At 35.0% G+C, this 16667-nt stretch overlaps 1 long non-coding RNA gene across 1 annotated transcript; it reads right to left on the reverse strand.

Annotated features, from left to right (window-relative positions):
- Positions 1–320: 320 nt before the first annotated feature.
- On the reverse strand, positions 321–4530 carry LOC124902982 (uncharacterized). Its single transcript, XR_007063402.1, has 2 exons — positions 4475–4530; positions 321–448 (listed from the first exon to the last, which is right to left on the reverse strand). It is a non-coding gene; the product is annotated as an uncharacterized LOC124902982 (long non-coding RNA).
- Between the last annotated feature and the right edge of the window lie 12137 nt (positions 4531–16667).

The raw sequence follows: 16667 nt of genomic DNA on the forward strand, positions 1-16667 counted from the left end.
TTTTTGTATTGCTAGTGCTTATTTGGGAATTAAAAAATGGCATGATCTTACTTTTCTAAAGAGCCTGGAGTTATTGTGCTATTTTATGAAGAAGGGCTACTCCATAGCCAGTCAGCATATTACATTAAGTTAGAGTCCAATAAAATAGAAATGACTGAGTACATATCAAATTAAAGAAGAGTTGTTAATACTTTAGATAAATGAGCTTAACTATGCAGTAGACATCTTCTTTCTTTGATATGACAATACACTTATTTATTATGGTTGAATCTAAATGTTTGCTTGCCAATCACATCTGTGTCATCATTTCTCAACACAACTCAGCTTTTGTTCATTTATTCATTCACAGATTACTTATTCGGTGTTTACAAAATGCTGGGATCTGCTCTTTCTTCCTTGGATATAGCAGTGAATAAGACAAAGTTCTCTTCTTCATGAAGCTTAAAATCTAGTGGGAAAAAGAGATAAAAATAAAAAATTATATCTCATATATTGACATTTGTCAAGGATTAATTTAAGCAAATAAAAAGAGGTATAATAGTCCTTAGGTAAGATATTATTTTATATAGAAAAGTCAGGACTTACTGAGAAGGTGACATTTGATCAGAATCCTGAGTGAAGTAAGTACCCGAAGTAGAAAGAAGAGCAATTTCAATGACCCTGGTGTAAGAAGATGCTTGGTGTAGCAGAGAAATGACAAGGTGTCCAGCGGGGCTAGAATGAAGTAAGTGTTGTCAGACAGTAATAGAAAGTGAAGTCAGAAAGATAATAAGAGCAGATATCCAGGACCTTGTAGGACACTGAGATGAATTTGAAGTTTTGCTTTGAACAAGAGTGGAAGCCACTAAAGGGTGCTGGGCAGAGGATTGATACATAACTTTAAAAGGATTACCTATATACTCTATCTGCTTTGTTGAGAATAAAAGACTAATGATCAAAGTTGGGACTCAAGTTAAAGCAGGTAATTGATCATGTTTGCCTTGGATTAAGGTGGAAGCCATCCAAGTGAGGGTTGGTTGGGTACTGGAAATATTTTCATGATAGAAGGGGAAAAGTCAAGGCTGGAAACAAATGTGAGAGTTGTCGGTGTATACATGATAATTCAATCCACATTGGAACACCGAGGGAGTAAATGTAGATAGGAAAAGAAGTTCAGAACTGAAAAATTTACGTTTACTCTTTACCAAATTCAATGCTTTTATAGAATCTACAGCTAAGATTCCTTTCTGTTCAAAGTTTAGGACGCCTGGAGTATCTATAGGCAGGAAGAAGTAATAATGAGTTTTAATGAGCATACTTAAGGTGGGATCATTAAAGTCCATCCGGCTTTTTAACTTATTTTATAATATAATGTGGTAGATTGTGTGCTGTTAAGTTGGCATCACACCACATCCTTCTATGGTCTCACAGAACTACATTTTCCAGAATTTCCTTCCTTGAATATTTCCAGGGTAAAGTCGGCCAGTAAGAGACAGTCACCTGAAGTGGAAGGGGAAAAGAGGCCTTGATTCTCTAGAGGCATTTAGGGTAGACTCTTGGGAGGACAGTTGTCTTTAAGTTTGTAACACTTGAGGTTTACAGCACTGAAATAACTGCTTTAGTGCTGTGGCTACTGATCAAATTTGTATTCATCTAATCTCATGTTCTTATATTGTGACTTTGTCATGAAGTGTGTTAAGCTAATAAAAGGCCCCAAAGCTAATTCGTAGTATTATTTGATAGTTTTCATCAGCAAATAAATTACTCAAACTAGGCTATCAAAACATAAAATTCACCTTATAATCATTTATATTATTTATGTGATACTTTTATAATCACAGTTATGAGATAAATAGATCCTGGAAGAAAACATAGAAATATTTTTATTTTTTATCTTTCTGTATTTTCTAAATTTCTTATTTTTTATTGGGGTAACTAGTAGATTTTTACAAATATTTTATTTTAAAGAAAAATATTCAAAATTATTTCAAAGATCTATTTTACTAGATAAAACAATTTGTAAGAAAAATATTTGAACATTAAATATGTTTTAGGCATATGAAGTTATTTCCATTTTACTTCATATTACCTAGAAATGCTTCTAAAATATGTATATACATTTCATATCATTAATTTGTATTCTGTGCTTAAAGAATCTACTAAGACAAGATTAAATTCACCTTAAGCCTCATCCTCTGCACAAAATAAGCAAAATCTGAAAAAGTAAGATTTTTAAAAAGAAAAAAAGTGAAGTGATTGATATAGACAGAGGAAAGTTGAAATGAGGTCTGAACAATGTTTCTCTGTACTTCACCCACTCATCTCATTAACGTGTCAAATGCTTGGAAGCAGTAAGCACAGAATCAGGACCTGGTTATTCCACACAGACAGAGTGTTTGCTCTTCTTGTAGAAATTACATTGTTATTTATTATAACCATCCTAAATTAACATCCTACTGAGATCTTTATTAGAACAAATGAATTTTGAGGACTCTTTTGACATATTATTTTATAAAGTGATGAAAAGTGGCCTCTATTGTTTATTGCCCTCACAAAAGTAAATAAAGGGAACAGATATAAAGTCTGATCCATGGTTGCATTCTGAATATCATCTTTATGTTATTTCTAAATATAATTTTCCTCTGAAACTTCTGCAAGATTTGCCTGGAGTATTTGGGCCAGTTTAGTAAGAGCTGGTACTTGTTTCCATCATTTCCATGAAGTCATAGGGGTTCAGAATATACCACCTCAAAATATGACACTTTGGCATGAAAACTCTTATGAGCTAGAGGCAAAAGAAAATCCACACATGCAGAAATAAGCCTTCTCAGAGCTTCCATTATATAACCAGAGGCAGAAGCTTCTGAGAAATGAAGACTGCCATAAATCCCCTCTTTCCAGCAAGTTTTATGGTCCTGAAGAAGATAGAAATTTGGCTACCAGACGGTTCTGCATAAACAAATCTTGCTAAGATACTCCTTACCTTACATCTGTTTCCCCCGTATATTTACCTTCCCAAAGTTTGCAACCTCAGGAAGCCTAAAAACTTGTTGTTTTTTTGTCTTTTCAGTTCTGTACAAATATTGATATTTGTTAAGATGCTATATAAATCCAGGTTTTAAATACTCCTTTGAGTTACTCATTACTGAATTTCTCTTGCAGGCTATACATGTTAATAAAGTATTCATTTTTCTCTTGTTCATCTGTCTTTTGTCAGTCTAATTTGCCGGAACCCAGATGGAGGACATAAGAGAGGAAAGAAAAAAGGATTCTGCCCCCTACAAAACATTTATTTAATATGTTCTCAATGAGAACTCTTAGGAGCAATCTGGGTGTCCAGTCCTAGAGACTCAGGATTGAAGACAAGCCTCCCACTTAGCATAGGAATAATCTTGTTCAATGCAGCTGCTCCAGATCTCGGTTCTTTCACTGACAAAATGCTTTGGAAAATACTTCTTCATATAATTGTTGAAACAATTAGAAATTATATATGCAAAGGATGTAACAGCGTCTGGGACATTTATGTGCTTGGTAAATTATTGGTATTGTTCTTCTATTATTGTAATATTAATAGATTATTGAAAGCAGATAACAGTGCTCAATGGTGAAGAAGCTTTCTGAAAAAAATTAGCTTTCTGACTGACTCATTTGGAATTGTGAAAAGAGAAAATTAAGTATGGCAAATAAGATGGGTGAAGATACAATGGTCTACCTAATTCTCATAAGCAGAAAACTACTTTTCAGTAATACTAAGAGCTTCTAATCGAGAAACAAAGGAGGCCGAAGTGTGGCAATAAACATATAAAGTTGTCACTTATATGCTGGTGGAACACTCACCATGGGTACACCATCTGAATTCTCCTGTGCTTAGTCCTCTGTATTCAACTGCCTACTCAATATTCTCACTTGGATGTGTTACACTTATTTTAAACTCAACAAACTGGATTAATGTTCTTTTTATCAAACATTTTTCCTTCCGCATTCTTCTTGGTAATTTATGACAGTTTCCATCAGTTCATATCAAAAACAAGGAAGGCATTCTTCACATCTGTGTTCTTACTGCTCTGTTATCCAATCAGCTATGCATCCAGAAGCAGCTGCCTCTTAAATGCTTATCAAATCTGTTCACTTCTTTCTAACTCCTCCATTATCACTAGATTCTAATTCACCAACATCTTTACCAGTCTGAACTACTGCAATAATAATATCTTAACTATTATTTCTGCTTCCTCTTGTCTTATTCCAAATAATTTTTAAAAATACCTTAGGGTAATTTCCTCTCTAATCCTAAGAGATATTTAGTTACATCTGTTTCCCATCTACGAGTCTTCCATGGTCTCCATTGCTTCTGTGATACAGTTCAAAATCTCAAACACAGTCTGAAAGGACCCCATATTTCAGGCCTACTTTTCCAGTCTAATTGTGAATCACTTCCCACAATCTTTATTAAACCTCAGGACCTTTACACATGCTGTTTCTTATGCCTTAAACTCACCTTCCGTTTTCTCATGCCCAGTTGCCTGGCTAGTCCATACTCATCTTTCAGAAGTCAGCACATGTGACATGTTCTCTCTAAAGCTTTCTCTCACCCGAACACTGAAATAGGCCCTCCCATTTTCTGCTGTCATAGTAACAGATTTTGTGGCAATTATCCCAATAATAGAAATTCTTTGCCTAACTATTTATTGGAAATACCCACGAAAATAGACTATAAACTGCTTGGTAGCAGTGACATTTTCTGTCATTGGTCTCTAGACAATGCAATATTTGTTAATAGTAGGCTGTCAATAATACTTGATGAATGCATAAAAACAAACAATGAAATATGCAGTAAACAAGCTATTTTTGTGGCTCAGGATACAGATGGGCCTATGAGATCATTCTAGTCCTGGAAGTTAGCCCTTACATATTACTCTGGCTAGCTGAATTAATGTTGAAGATATCTGCTCTTAGCATTCTTTATAGAATGTGGAATCAGAAAAAGTTACATTAGTTTATAGCCATGGGACCTTGGACTTGCTACAGAACATGAAAGTTATTCAGTTGAATGAGAACAGATAATGCTAGGAACAGTGGTTTAAGCAAGATAGGTGTTGTGTTTCTCCTTCAAAGCCAAAAATTCCGAAGTAAGCAGTCCAGTGTCTCAGGGATGTCAGGCTGATTTTCTTGTTTTTCCCCCGACAGTCTGCTTGAGATGGTTGCTGGAGTGCTTCACCCCATAGATCTGTATTTCTGGCAAGAAAAAAGGAAATGTGCCATGGGCAAAAAGGATATATCTGGTATTACATGAGTCCATTTCCTATATAAGGTGCTTTCCCAGAAACCCCTCCCAATAAAGTCACTTATATATTATTGTCTGGAAATACCATTATATGGATACCTTTATCAGCAAAGGAGTCTAAGAAATGCTTTTTAAGTAGGAACTTTGCCAACACCAATAAAATTAGCTTCCTGCTACATGAGAAAGAAAGAAAACATAGTTATTGAAGGTGCTATTGGCAGTCTCTGCCTAACTGAAAATACTGAGTTTCAGTTTATCTGAAAACAAAAGATAAAAATATATACATTTTAAGGTGTTTATGATCATTAACCAAGACAAAGGACACTAACGCTGCATTACGGGTTTTCTGCACATGTTACATGCAAAGTAACAACTCCATTATTTAAATAAGGTGAAATACAAGGTAATTTTCAAAGAAAGTCATACCAGCTCCCAGATGTTTATGAGTTTGCTTAGGATTCAAGTCCATTAGCACTTTTTATCCAAAATTGAAACATTCTTAACCAAAAAAAAAAAAAAGAATATGAATATTTTACCCAGGCAATTGTCTTGACTTTTTTGTTCTGAAGCAAGAAGTATATAGACAGATGTCCCTCCTATGCAGCTAAGTTGGAGATTCATTGATGGAGAATGACTGACTTCAGATTTCTGGAAATTCTGAGTGAATGAATCTTGTGAGGTCATAGTGAAAGGCGTTCATGGGATTTAATTTGATTATGCCTCTATCTAATACGTGCATGCTAATGACCCTCTGTATGTCAAATGTCCTTGCAACACCAGTGAAAGAAGAAACTTTTTATTTTCCTCAAAGAACTGAAAATCTTCCTACAAGTATAATTGATTAGAAAACAACAGTTTGGCCAGGCGTGGTGGGTCACGCCTGTAATCCCAGCACTGTGGGAGGCCAAGGCAGGCAGATCACCTGAGGTCAGGAGTGGGAGACCGGCCTGGCCAACATGGTGAAACTCCATCTCTACTAAAAAATACAAAAATTAGCCAGGCATGGTGGCGGGTGCCTGTAATTCCAGCTACTTGGGAGGCTGAGGCATGAGAATTGCTTGAACCCAGGAGGCAGATGTTGCAGTGAGCTGAAATCTCGCCACTGCACTCTGGTCTGGGCAACAGAGCGAAACTCCTTTACAAACAAACAAACAATCAACAGTTTGTTACCAAGGATTTTGTTTAGGGTGTGCATGTGTCAGTGTTGTGCATTCTGTGGCAATGCTAAGAAGGGAGCTTATGCTTCCATCTTTGGACAACGAGACTCATAAACTTCTTTAGAGATGAAAGGGAAAATTTTACTTTTTTTCTCTATCTTAAAATTATTTCAAGCCCTGAAAGTCTTGGAATCATCACTTTCTAGCTTGAAAGGCCCAAGAAGCAGAGTAGTAAGTTGCTACTTGTCCCTGGATCTTCAAGGTAAAATATGCCCTTGTCTATGTTTACAGAGTTTTTAATTAAAATGCCCCATGAATTTAATCTTATGCCAACATTTTGAGGGATTTGGTTTTCTCATAAAATTGGGATTACACTTTCTATTTGTCGATGTTTTCTTTCACTTTTACAGTGTAGTATGTTTCTTACATTTTTATTATATATTCCTCATTATATCTCACGTCTGTATCTTTTATGTTATACCTTTTTCAAAATGCTTTTTATTTTTTTCTTTCTTATTTTATCTAAGTTAATTCAGAATAATGATTTTGGATTTCTTTGGTTAGGGATTGGCAAAATGATTTTTAAGTGTTTTTCAAATAAAATCTGTACACAGGTTAAAAAATAGTCAAAGGACTTAATAATTTTGTTATGTTCTTTGATAAAATTTTTACATACACTCGGTAGAATGCTAAGAAATTTTAGCTTGTAACCAAAGGAAGATTTATTATTTCTGGCTGCTTTCTTTTTCCATGAAATGTGTAGATATGCTATTTGACTTAAACCAAGTGTGTAGCCTTCTGATTCATAGTTTAGTTTGTCCTCAACTAAAGAACATACCAGGGTGTGCTTTTTGTGTGCCCGACATGGCTGCTTAAGGGAACTGCATATACCTTAATCCAAATCAAAGCTTCTGAGGAAGAAAAGATTGAACTCACTCAATATCATGTGGCTACTGAAGAATGAAAAGAACTAGAAAAACAACATGGTAGAATATTAGTAATGAGAATACCAATTAGAATTGGAAGCACTGTTTCCATTCTAAATACTCTGCCTTGACCACTCAGCAAAGGTGCTAACAGTATGTGTCATTGATCCCTGGGGTGCCTGGTAAAGTCACCATTCTTGAGACATTGTAATTTTGTAGGGGAACATGGCCTAAGAACTACAATGCAAAAATTTGGACACTGGTATTAAGGAAAGAGTTAAAACTTAGTCAAAAGAAAAGGGTAATTTAAAACGAGCAAAAGAGTAAACAACAACAAAACAACTACAACAGAGTGCTTGGGATTACTGAGATGTGGGTGTCAAAAACTTAAAGAGAGGGATTATTGTGTTCTAATAAGCAGACTATGGACATTTTCAGGTGGGGATAAATCTGTGTATATTTATGTATTAGAAAGTAAACTCAATAAAGTGAGCTAACTATAAAAGGTTATCACAGATTCGTTCAGTGAAAGGCATTCATTGACAATGGGCACAAGCTTAAGTGGTTGATAAGCATTCATCATTAAAAATGTATATATGTATATATACATACACATACATATTTTTAACATTTTCTATGTGCCTGGCATTGTTCATGACAATAGGTTTATAGGTGCTGAGGTGGAAAAAACAAGCCAGGGTCTCATTCTCATGGAGCTTATGGCAAAAAGAGGACACAAATACAAAGCTAATAATTACAAATACTTTTTTCATTATATTCAAAAGAGGAGCCATGAAGAAAAATACAGATGAATTTAAAATTACGTAATACGAAATCTAATTTATCAGCAATAGTGACAGCAGATTTAGACCTTTAGAAGCATATTTTTTCCTATGGCCCCAGTGTTTGTATATGGAGGAGGGAGTGGAGAGGTGGGCAGACAGGGAGAGAACAGCAGTCTAGTGGCCTGCAGCCAAGGGAGGAAACAACTTTGCTCACAATAGGCATCCTTAGCAAAGCCAAAGAACAGTGACATCAGCGTCTACACATTTCCCATGATTTCTAAAAATATAATCAACTCATTAGCAGGAAAACACTAAAACATACAATTTTTAAAAAATTAATGGATGGTTAGAGCACTTGGCTGTGAGATTGGGTAGTGCCATCTACATTTGGGTAATGGCCCCTCATATTTTCCATGCCTTATACTGCTGGGAAGACATCATGCAAAAGGAAGGCCACATCTTCTGTCTCAACCCCAACCATTTATTTCCCGCCTTCCTTCATCATTATTATTAATTAGAATGTTTGCAACTGTGAACTGTCCTAGTTTTTATTTTTGGCTTTCTCTACTAAGTCCAAGTATAAAGAGAACATACAATTCTCCTTGATGACCATCCCCTCCTTCAGTTACAGCAATAATTTTCCTAGAATGATGGTGCTATTGATTGCCCAACTGCAATCTCTGTGCCAGAAATGCTTAATACTATCTTGTCATTCACAATATGCTTAATGGCAAACAGGGGATTTACAGTCTGTCAAATTTAATGACCAGAAGAACCAATAAAATATGACAGGAAAGACTTCCTACTGTTTAGGAATGGAATGGTTCCATCTGCACAATGATGGCATGTTGGAAAATCCCTCTTGTTTAAAAAATTATATATATATATATAATTTCTACTCAAGAAAGAAAATGTACACGATGTCATACAGAAGAGAATGTTATAATTTAGAACAACATTATTCCAAACTTGTTTTTCTAGGTTAGATTTCTCAAAAGTGAATTTTTATGTTTCTTATTAGGATTGAAAATCTATATAGCCAATTTTGGCTCCCAGGAGAGTCTAAAATCCTCTCATTGATGAACCCAATACCTTATGCTCAGGCCTGAATACCAGAAAAGTAGGTGTTGTAGTAGCAGGAGAAATGGTGCTGGTGGATCTGGAGTTAGTAAAGTAAGTGAAACTCTTCATTCATTTTGCATTGTTGCCCTTTTCCGACACATACACACACACACGCACATGCACACACACACACACAGATACTGCTACTACAACCCCAGCAAAAGTCCCCCTCCTTAAATTATTGAGCAATGGTTCTCAAAGCAAACAGAAGAATCACCTGGAAGTGACTAAATTAATCTCTCTCCTCTAGATGTTGTGATTCTGTGGTCATACCTGGGCCTAGGAGTTGTTTTTGCTTGTTTTTTGTTTTTCAATGTGTCCCAATGAGTCTTATGCCAATGGTCTAATATGATGCTTTATGAACTCTGCATACACTCCAGTATAGTTAAACACTGTGTAATTATTGAAAACTGCTTGAATTCATACCCTGTTCTTCCAAATGCCACCTTGGACATGATTATTGTCTATCACATAAGGTCATTGTGAAGCTAAAGTAGATTAATCTTATAAAGATGTAAAACATGACTTTACATTTATAGATGCTCCATAAGCATTAGTTAGTATTGTTGGATGGGGTTTATTTTTGGTGGTGGTGTAGCTTTTGTTATTACATAACTATAACCTCAAATGAATTTAAGAAATAAAGATAAATATATAGTTATGAATTAGTGGAAGCCTCAGGACTCACAATTTCAAAATACAGTCAAATGCCATTGATGAAGTACAGGAGCTGGATAGCCACCAAAGGAGGCTTTGTCTTAGTCTTTTATGGAAACTACACACTGTCTCATCTCCATTTATCTCTGTATGTCTGCTTCATTCTCTCTCTCTTTGCTGACTCTTTGCTTTTTCCAAAGCATGGTGGATCATGGTCAGAACACCCACTCCTGAGTTTAAATTAATTCTTCTACCTGCAAGAGAAACACTAGCTCCATTAAGTCCCATTTTTATATTCCCAGAACAAAGATTCTGATTGATTCAGTTTATACCTGTTGATTATCTACCCTTGGTTCAATTGGCTATGGAGTGGCATGCAGGATCTGAAGTGGAAACAAACTGCTAAGACCCAACTGCGGTGTGAGAGCAGTTCTAAAATAGGAAAAGGTATGGGCTAGTTAGGTAGCCTTACAGGTATCTGCAAAAGGAAGTTTCAATATTACTGCAGTTAGTCGGTATTTCAAGATATCCATAAAATACATTGTGAGCTCTGTTCAAACAATTTTCTGGGATAGATTCCAATTATTATTTGGATTCTGTCTGGACTTTTGAAAGTAAAGATTAGATGATGTATCATTGGATGAAATGTAAGCCAAAATCTTTAGGGAAAACTGTGAAAAAAAAATCACTGGTGTATCTCCCATTTCTGAACTTTTTTGTGCCTACCATTTTCTGATGACTCAGGTTCTCATTTGCCTCTTTTAAAGAAAAACAGTAGCACTTAAACTTGTGTTTTAATGTGTTACTATCAGTGATATCTGCACTTAAAAGTATCATGGACTAGCCAGTGCAAACCTTGACAAAAAGGAATGAATTGACAATAGAGGCAATGGTGGGAAAGCTATTTTTGAGGGCTAGGCCTTTTTGGCACCCCTTGGATTATGCTGAAGTTATATTAATGACTATTTTATTATGTTCCTGGTTATCTCTGCCTGTTAGGTGAATTCAGTTTGTTTGCAGAGTACAGATGATTTGTGGTTGTATCCAATCACTGAGTCATTGCAATGACTGAAAGTTACATCCTCACTGTAGTTTGGACTTTTGCCATATTCCTGACCATCATTTGAACTTCAATTTTGACATGGAACCAGGCTATGCTGGTCATAGTACAAGGCCCCATTCACTGTGGTATGTCTGACCTTTCAAGGTTCCCCCTGAGCAATGATTCCCTGAAAATAAATGGCCTATACAACTTGATGTCTTATCTATTCATATAACTGCCTATTTGTTTTAAATACATTTTCATGTTTTAAACTTCTTGTGTGATGTTCTTATAGGCAAGCATTAAATATGTACATGTTGGCATAAAAAAGATTATTGCTTTTATTTTACTTGTCATTCTCTTCATCACTGTAATTTAAGTTACAACTGTTCCTATAAACAATATGAAATTGCTGATATTTTACCATTTTCAATCTACTAAAATGGTAATTTTATATACTTCAATCTAAATATTTGCATGGTATTTTCTGGAAAGAAATGGTATTAGCAAAGAATTAATATTGAACCTATAGTGCAAAACCAAAGTGTTTTAAAAATTATAATTATGAATAAAAAATGATTAAAAAATGTAAAAATAGATCAGTGGATGCTTTTGGATGATAAGTAGGACTAAAGGGATATTTTATTTTATTTGCTCTTCTTATTTTACAATGTAGGTATGTATCATCTTTATTTAATAACATTTACTATGTTTGTGGTTATTGAAGTAGCACACGTATCTTGGAAAACAGGGAAAATGGTAAGAAGAAAACTCCTACCATTCAGAGAATTTGTGGTGACTTTCTACCTACTCTATTTGTGTCATTTAAAATAACACTGTCAATTTTTCATAACTTCTATTCTTTTCTTATTGATGAAGATGAGTATTTTTATGTTTATTGCTCATTTGTATTAATGGATTGATTTCCCCTGTTATTCCTGGATCCTTCATCTACTGCTTATTCCAGGAATAACCTGGATGTTATAAGACAGGGAGGACCTTTAATCTGCTGTTGGTCCTAGTTTACCTCCAGTGGTAGTAGCAAAAGTAATGAGTTTTCAGAAAGAAGAGTAGTCATTCTATATGTTGACAATAGGGCCAGTAGAAAAACAAGTTAGCCACGAGGGAAAACAAAAACAAAACAAAAGAAAAACAGGTATAAAACTGCAGGGTTGAGAGGTACCATAAGTCTTTGAAGATAGCTGTCATAGAGTTAAAGATCATAAGGAAAGTCAGGTTAACTATGATTAGAAGACAGAGCTTAAAAAACATGCATACAGTAAATAGTGTATGTATCTTTTAAAAATTGGAATCCATCTCCCCCTCATGGCTTAAACTGGTCTGACCTTTCCTGCAATTTGCAGAACTTCAGAAGGAAAACATGGGTCATTTTTTTCTTTCTTTTGCTTTCTCCTCCATACCTTCTCCTATCCCCAACAGGTGACAGGAATGTCATGAATAAAGTGAAATGTAGGTTGGCTTTTACTTCCAACACTTTAAAAATCTATATCATGAACTTAGAGATGTCAGAGTACTTGGCAAAATGTGCTTCTAAAATAAATATCACAACCAAACATATTCTGTAAAATGGCTAGTTTTGGCCTAGAATTCTTGGTTGGGTAATTTTGATGATGTGGTCACTCTTATTTTGTGGTCAATGAACTTAATGTACTGTAGAGGAGAGCCGCAATAGAGCCCATACTTGTGTTAAAATAGCTCACTTCCCTATTTCCCACAAATTGCATATTTTCTTCTTTTTCTCCAATCTAAAAATAACTAAGTCATTTGTGGTGACTACTCTTAAAGAATCAACTTTCATTTAAGAAAGCCCATTTCAGATAGAAGAAAACTTGAAGTGCAAATTCTTAGCATTTACTCCTAGATGACTTCCTATTAGAGTAACACAATTAATGGTATAATAATTCATTGCTTTTAATTAATTGAAGTCCTATCTTAACTATATTCTTCTTATTTCCTTCTGTTGGGGTCTTAGAACTTAGCACCAAGGTCTCTTACTTACCATCTTCCTCAAAACAGGAGGGGTAGAGGGGGGTGTTGGGGAGGTCTCTCGCGAAACTTCTTTCCAAAAGAGATGCAATTGTCTTAAGATTTCCTTCCTAGGAATCTCATCAAATGATCAGAAAGAATAAACTACTGGAGAAAAGACTGAGAGATATGTCACCATGTCCAGATGGATGTTTTATCTATTCTTCTGAAGGCAACTCATGGAGATTACCTGGGACACTGCATTTATAAAACAAGACAACTTTTGTTTGCAATGCATTTCCACTCCTCACCTTCCCCAAATTTATCAACAACATATTTTTCCTTTAGTTCCTTTCAGCTCCAAATAAGAATCATTTATAAACCCTTTTCTAGACTCCAGGGCCATTCAATCATAGCCCATTCCCTACTCCCTGTCCTCAATAAAGAAGGTATTTAAGCATCAACCATCCCATCTATCCCTTCTTGAGTTTTCATGCCTTTTGAGATTCCCTTGTTTATGTATGTTAATAAATTTGTTATGCTATTCTCTTGTTAACCTGTCTTTTGTTATAGGGGCGTCAACCATGACCCTTATGAGAGAAAGGAAAAGAATCACCCCCTTTCTGCAGCTACACCTTCATGTTTGATAAATAGTTTTGTAATAATAGGAGTCAAATTTTTCAAGTTGCAGAATACATTATAAGTGGGATAAACTTGAATGTTCCTTTCTTAATTCCTGTGGTGTTAATCAAATTTGGTTTCCAAATATAGAATTAATCAAATCATTTTTTAATTAAGGAAACTTCTTAATGAACAGTGTTCAGCTATGCACAATCTGTAGATTACAATCATCTTCTAGAAAATACACCCTTTTCTTCTTCCAGCCTTCCCTCCCTTACTCCTTCCTTGTTTCCCTTCCTCATTTCCTCTCTTCCTTTCTTTTTTCCTTCATATAAGATAAAGGGACAATTCACCAAAGCAGTTCATTTTATTCCACAGGGCAGTGGTTTTATTTGGAGTAGACACTCCAAGTAAATAAAGATAATTTAAATGTCATCATTTTATTGATTTTCTTACTCTTTTAATTAGCAAGAGAGTTGATCATTAATCTTTTGTGAACCACTTTTCAATGAAATCAATTTTTTGCTGACATAGATATTAAGCTCAGAAAGTCTGATGAATGAAGAGAAGCTTAGCAAAAGCTGTCCTGAGGCATTCACTCAGAGGAATTTACAAGCCAAAAATTTATTTTCCTCTTGTGATTCTTAGCAGAAGGCCAGTTAGTATAGGTAGGTCAAGAGAAAAAGAAAATCAGTTTTCTTGAGATACTGCTCTTCTGTAATCTAGTATGTGCTTTGCAAAGAATCCTTTTCCCTTTGAAAGCTTAAATCAGAGTAACTTAAGTAAAAGGAATAGCAGGCATAGGTTAGGAAGTTGAGGGAGTTGAGGAGTACACAACAGAAAAATTAAATAGCCAGACAAAGAAGGCTTTCAAATAAAATAAAGCCATATTAATTCAGACATAGACATTGCTATTATTTCAAGAGAGATGGATATCTTTATATTATCTTCCAATAAAAGATAATTAATGTATAGTAGGGTGTTTACTTTCTTAACAGAGCAAATGTTAAATCATTTTGGGAAGTGTATGTATATACTAAAGATTTTTTCCTGAATAAAGGAAGAGTGGTAATTTAGTCTAATGCTGTGGCACAAAAATACAAATCATTCTTTATCAATAGCAGGATTTTGTTAGGTAATTATAGTACTAAATACAAAATTCAAGAAAAACATTAAAATAATCTGTTAGCTCAACTTCTTTTCTACATTACCAATTGTGTCTATAGTGTTATATACTAATGTTTTGTGACCTTATTTATTAATATATACAACCCCCGGAATTAATTCATACATCAATATCTCTCCACCTTGTTTTTTCACTGTCACCTCCATGAATATATTTTTAAAGACATTATTTTTCTTAATTATCCCCATGCAATAAAATTTTGATATCATACTTATACTGTATATCTGTTTATGTACTCTATACATATCTGCATTTTCTACATGAAAAAGAGTAAGGGTTTTTTTCATCCCCAAAGAACCAAGTTTTGCCCTTTTGAAGGTAATATAGCCTATTAAGAATGCATGATAAAAATATGTTTTGGTGAATTTGAAATCTCTGAGTTGGTGAATTCCCTTTAACGGACTGTCCAATTCATTGAGAATTTGTTTGCTTTTTTCATTTTATTTTAAAGGAATTTAGGTCACATTCATATTTTAAAAAACCCAAGTATTCTGAGTAGCATCCATAAACACAGTCCTGAGGATGTGTATCTTTAAATTGACAAATGTCAGCGTGTACTAATTTCCCCAGGTTCTGCACCTCTATTCTCCTCACAGTTGGGGGTATTTAAATTGGTTTTTAGGTCCCTAAAAACAATGCTAGCCTCAAGGAAATAGTACTTAAGCATTGTTTACATCAACATCTTACAGCTCAGCATGCAATCACATGTGCTGCTCTTTTAATTCTGCTGCAACATTCCAATTTTGATTACTGGGCGACTACCTTGCCCCAGGTCTGTTGGGTATTGGTCCTGATTCCCTTTATGATTTTGCTTGAGTTGAGATACTTTACTGAACACTTTCTTTCCCATTTGGGTTTTTCATTGTTCTTGCTACAATCTTCTTCTTTTCCTTTCCTTTTTCTTTTTTAACCTCTGTCTGTGCTACACCACCCTTACCCCTACTATTGCCTCAGAACTGGATCCTTGTCCTTGGTTTCTAGTCTCACAATGTTATATTATAAAATTATAATTGTGTTTAAAATTACAATGATGATGATTAGTTGGTAGTTGTAGATATTGGTGTATTGCTATGCCTTGAAAGAGCCAGAGTGAACTGCAAATATCTTAATGCTTGTTTGTTTCCTTAATGCAAAGCTCACTTTTTGGTAATTCATATGAGAATAGAATGTTCTAGTTTTTCTTGTTGGCGTCTGCTGTGGAAAATTTAAATAATGGGCAGGGAAAATAACTAAAACTGACTAGTGCTATTTCCTTAAGGGATTAGCTTAGTATTTGCTTAAGAAAATTGAATTGACTAGATCTTTATGGTGGCGAAGCCATTACACAGGCTGATGAATGAAGACATTTGTGAAAGAATGTGAGGAAAAACTGTAGCTTATTTGTTTTTGCAGGCCCTAAGTTTTGAGTTCTACCTTCATAAAAAGTTTGTGCTTTAAAACATTTATTGAATTGAATTGATGCATACTTTAGCATTTTTTTCTTCTATCTTTAAACTGATCCCTCTTTTCTGTTGATTTAACCTGGTATAAAATAAAATAATAAAGACTACTCTAAAATGAACATAAAAATATTTTTTTTAAAATCTGGCGGGGTACAGTGGCTCACGCCTGTAATCTCAGAACTTTAGGAAGCCAAAGCAGGTGGATCACTTGAGGTCAGGAGTTTGAAACCAGCCTGGACAACATGGCAAAACGCTGTTTTTACTAAAAATGTAAAAATTAGCCTGGTGTGGTTGTGTATGCCTGTGATTCCAGCTACTCGGGAGGCTGAGGCAGGAGAATCACTTGAACCAGGGAGGGAGATGTTACAGTGAGCCAAGATCATGCCACTGCCCTCCAGCCTGGGTGACAGCAAGGCGCTCTCCCCAACCCCCACCGCCAAAAAAAACAGAAAAGAAGAAAATAAATAAACTGATCTAATACAA

Source organism: Homo sapiens, chromosome 12, assembly GCF_000001405.40.
Source record: "Homo sapiens chromosome 12, GRCh38.p14 Primary Assembly".
NCBI classification, from domain to species: domain Eukaryota; kingdom Metazoa; phylum Chordata; class Mammalia; order Primates; family Hominidae; genus Homo; species Homo sapiens.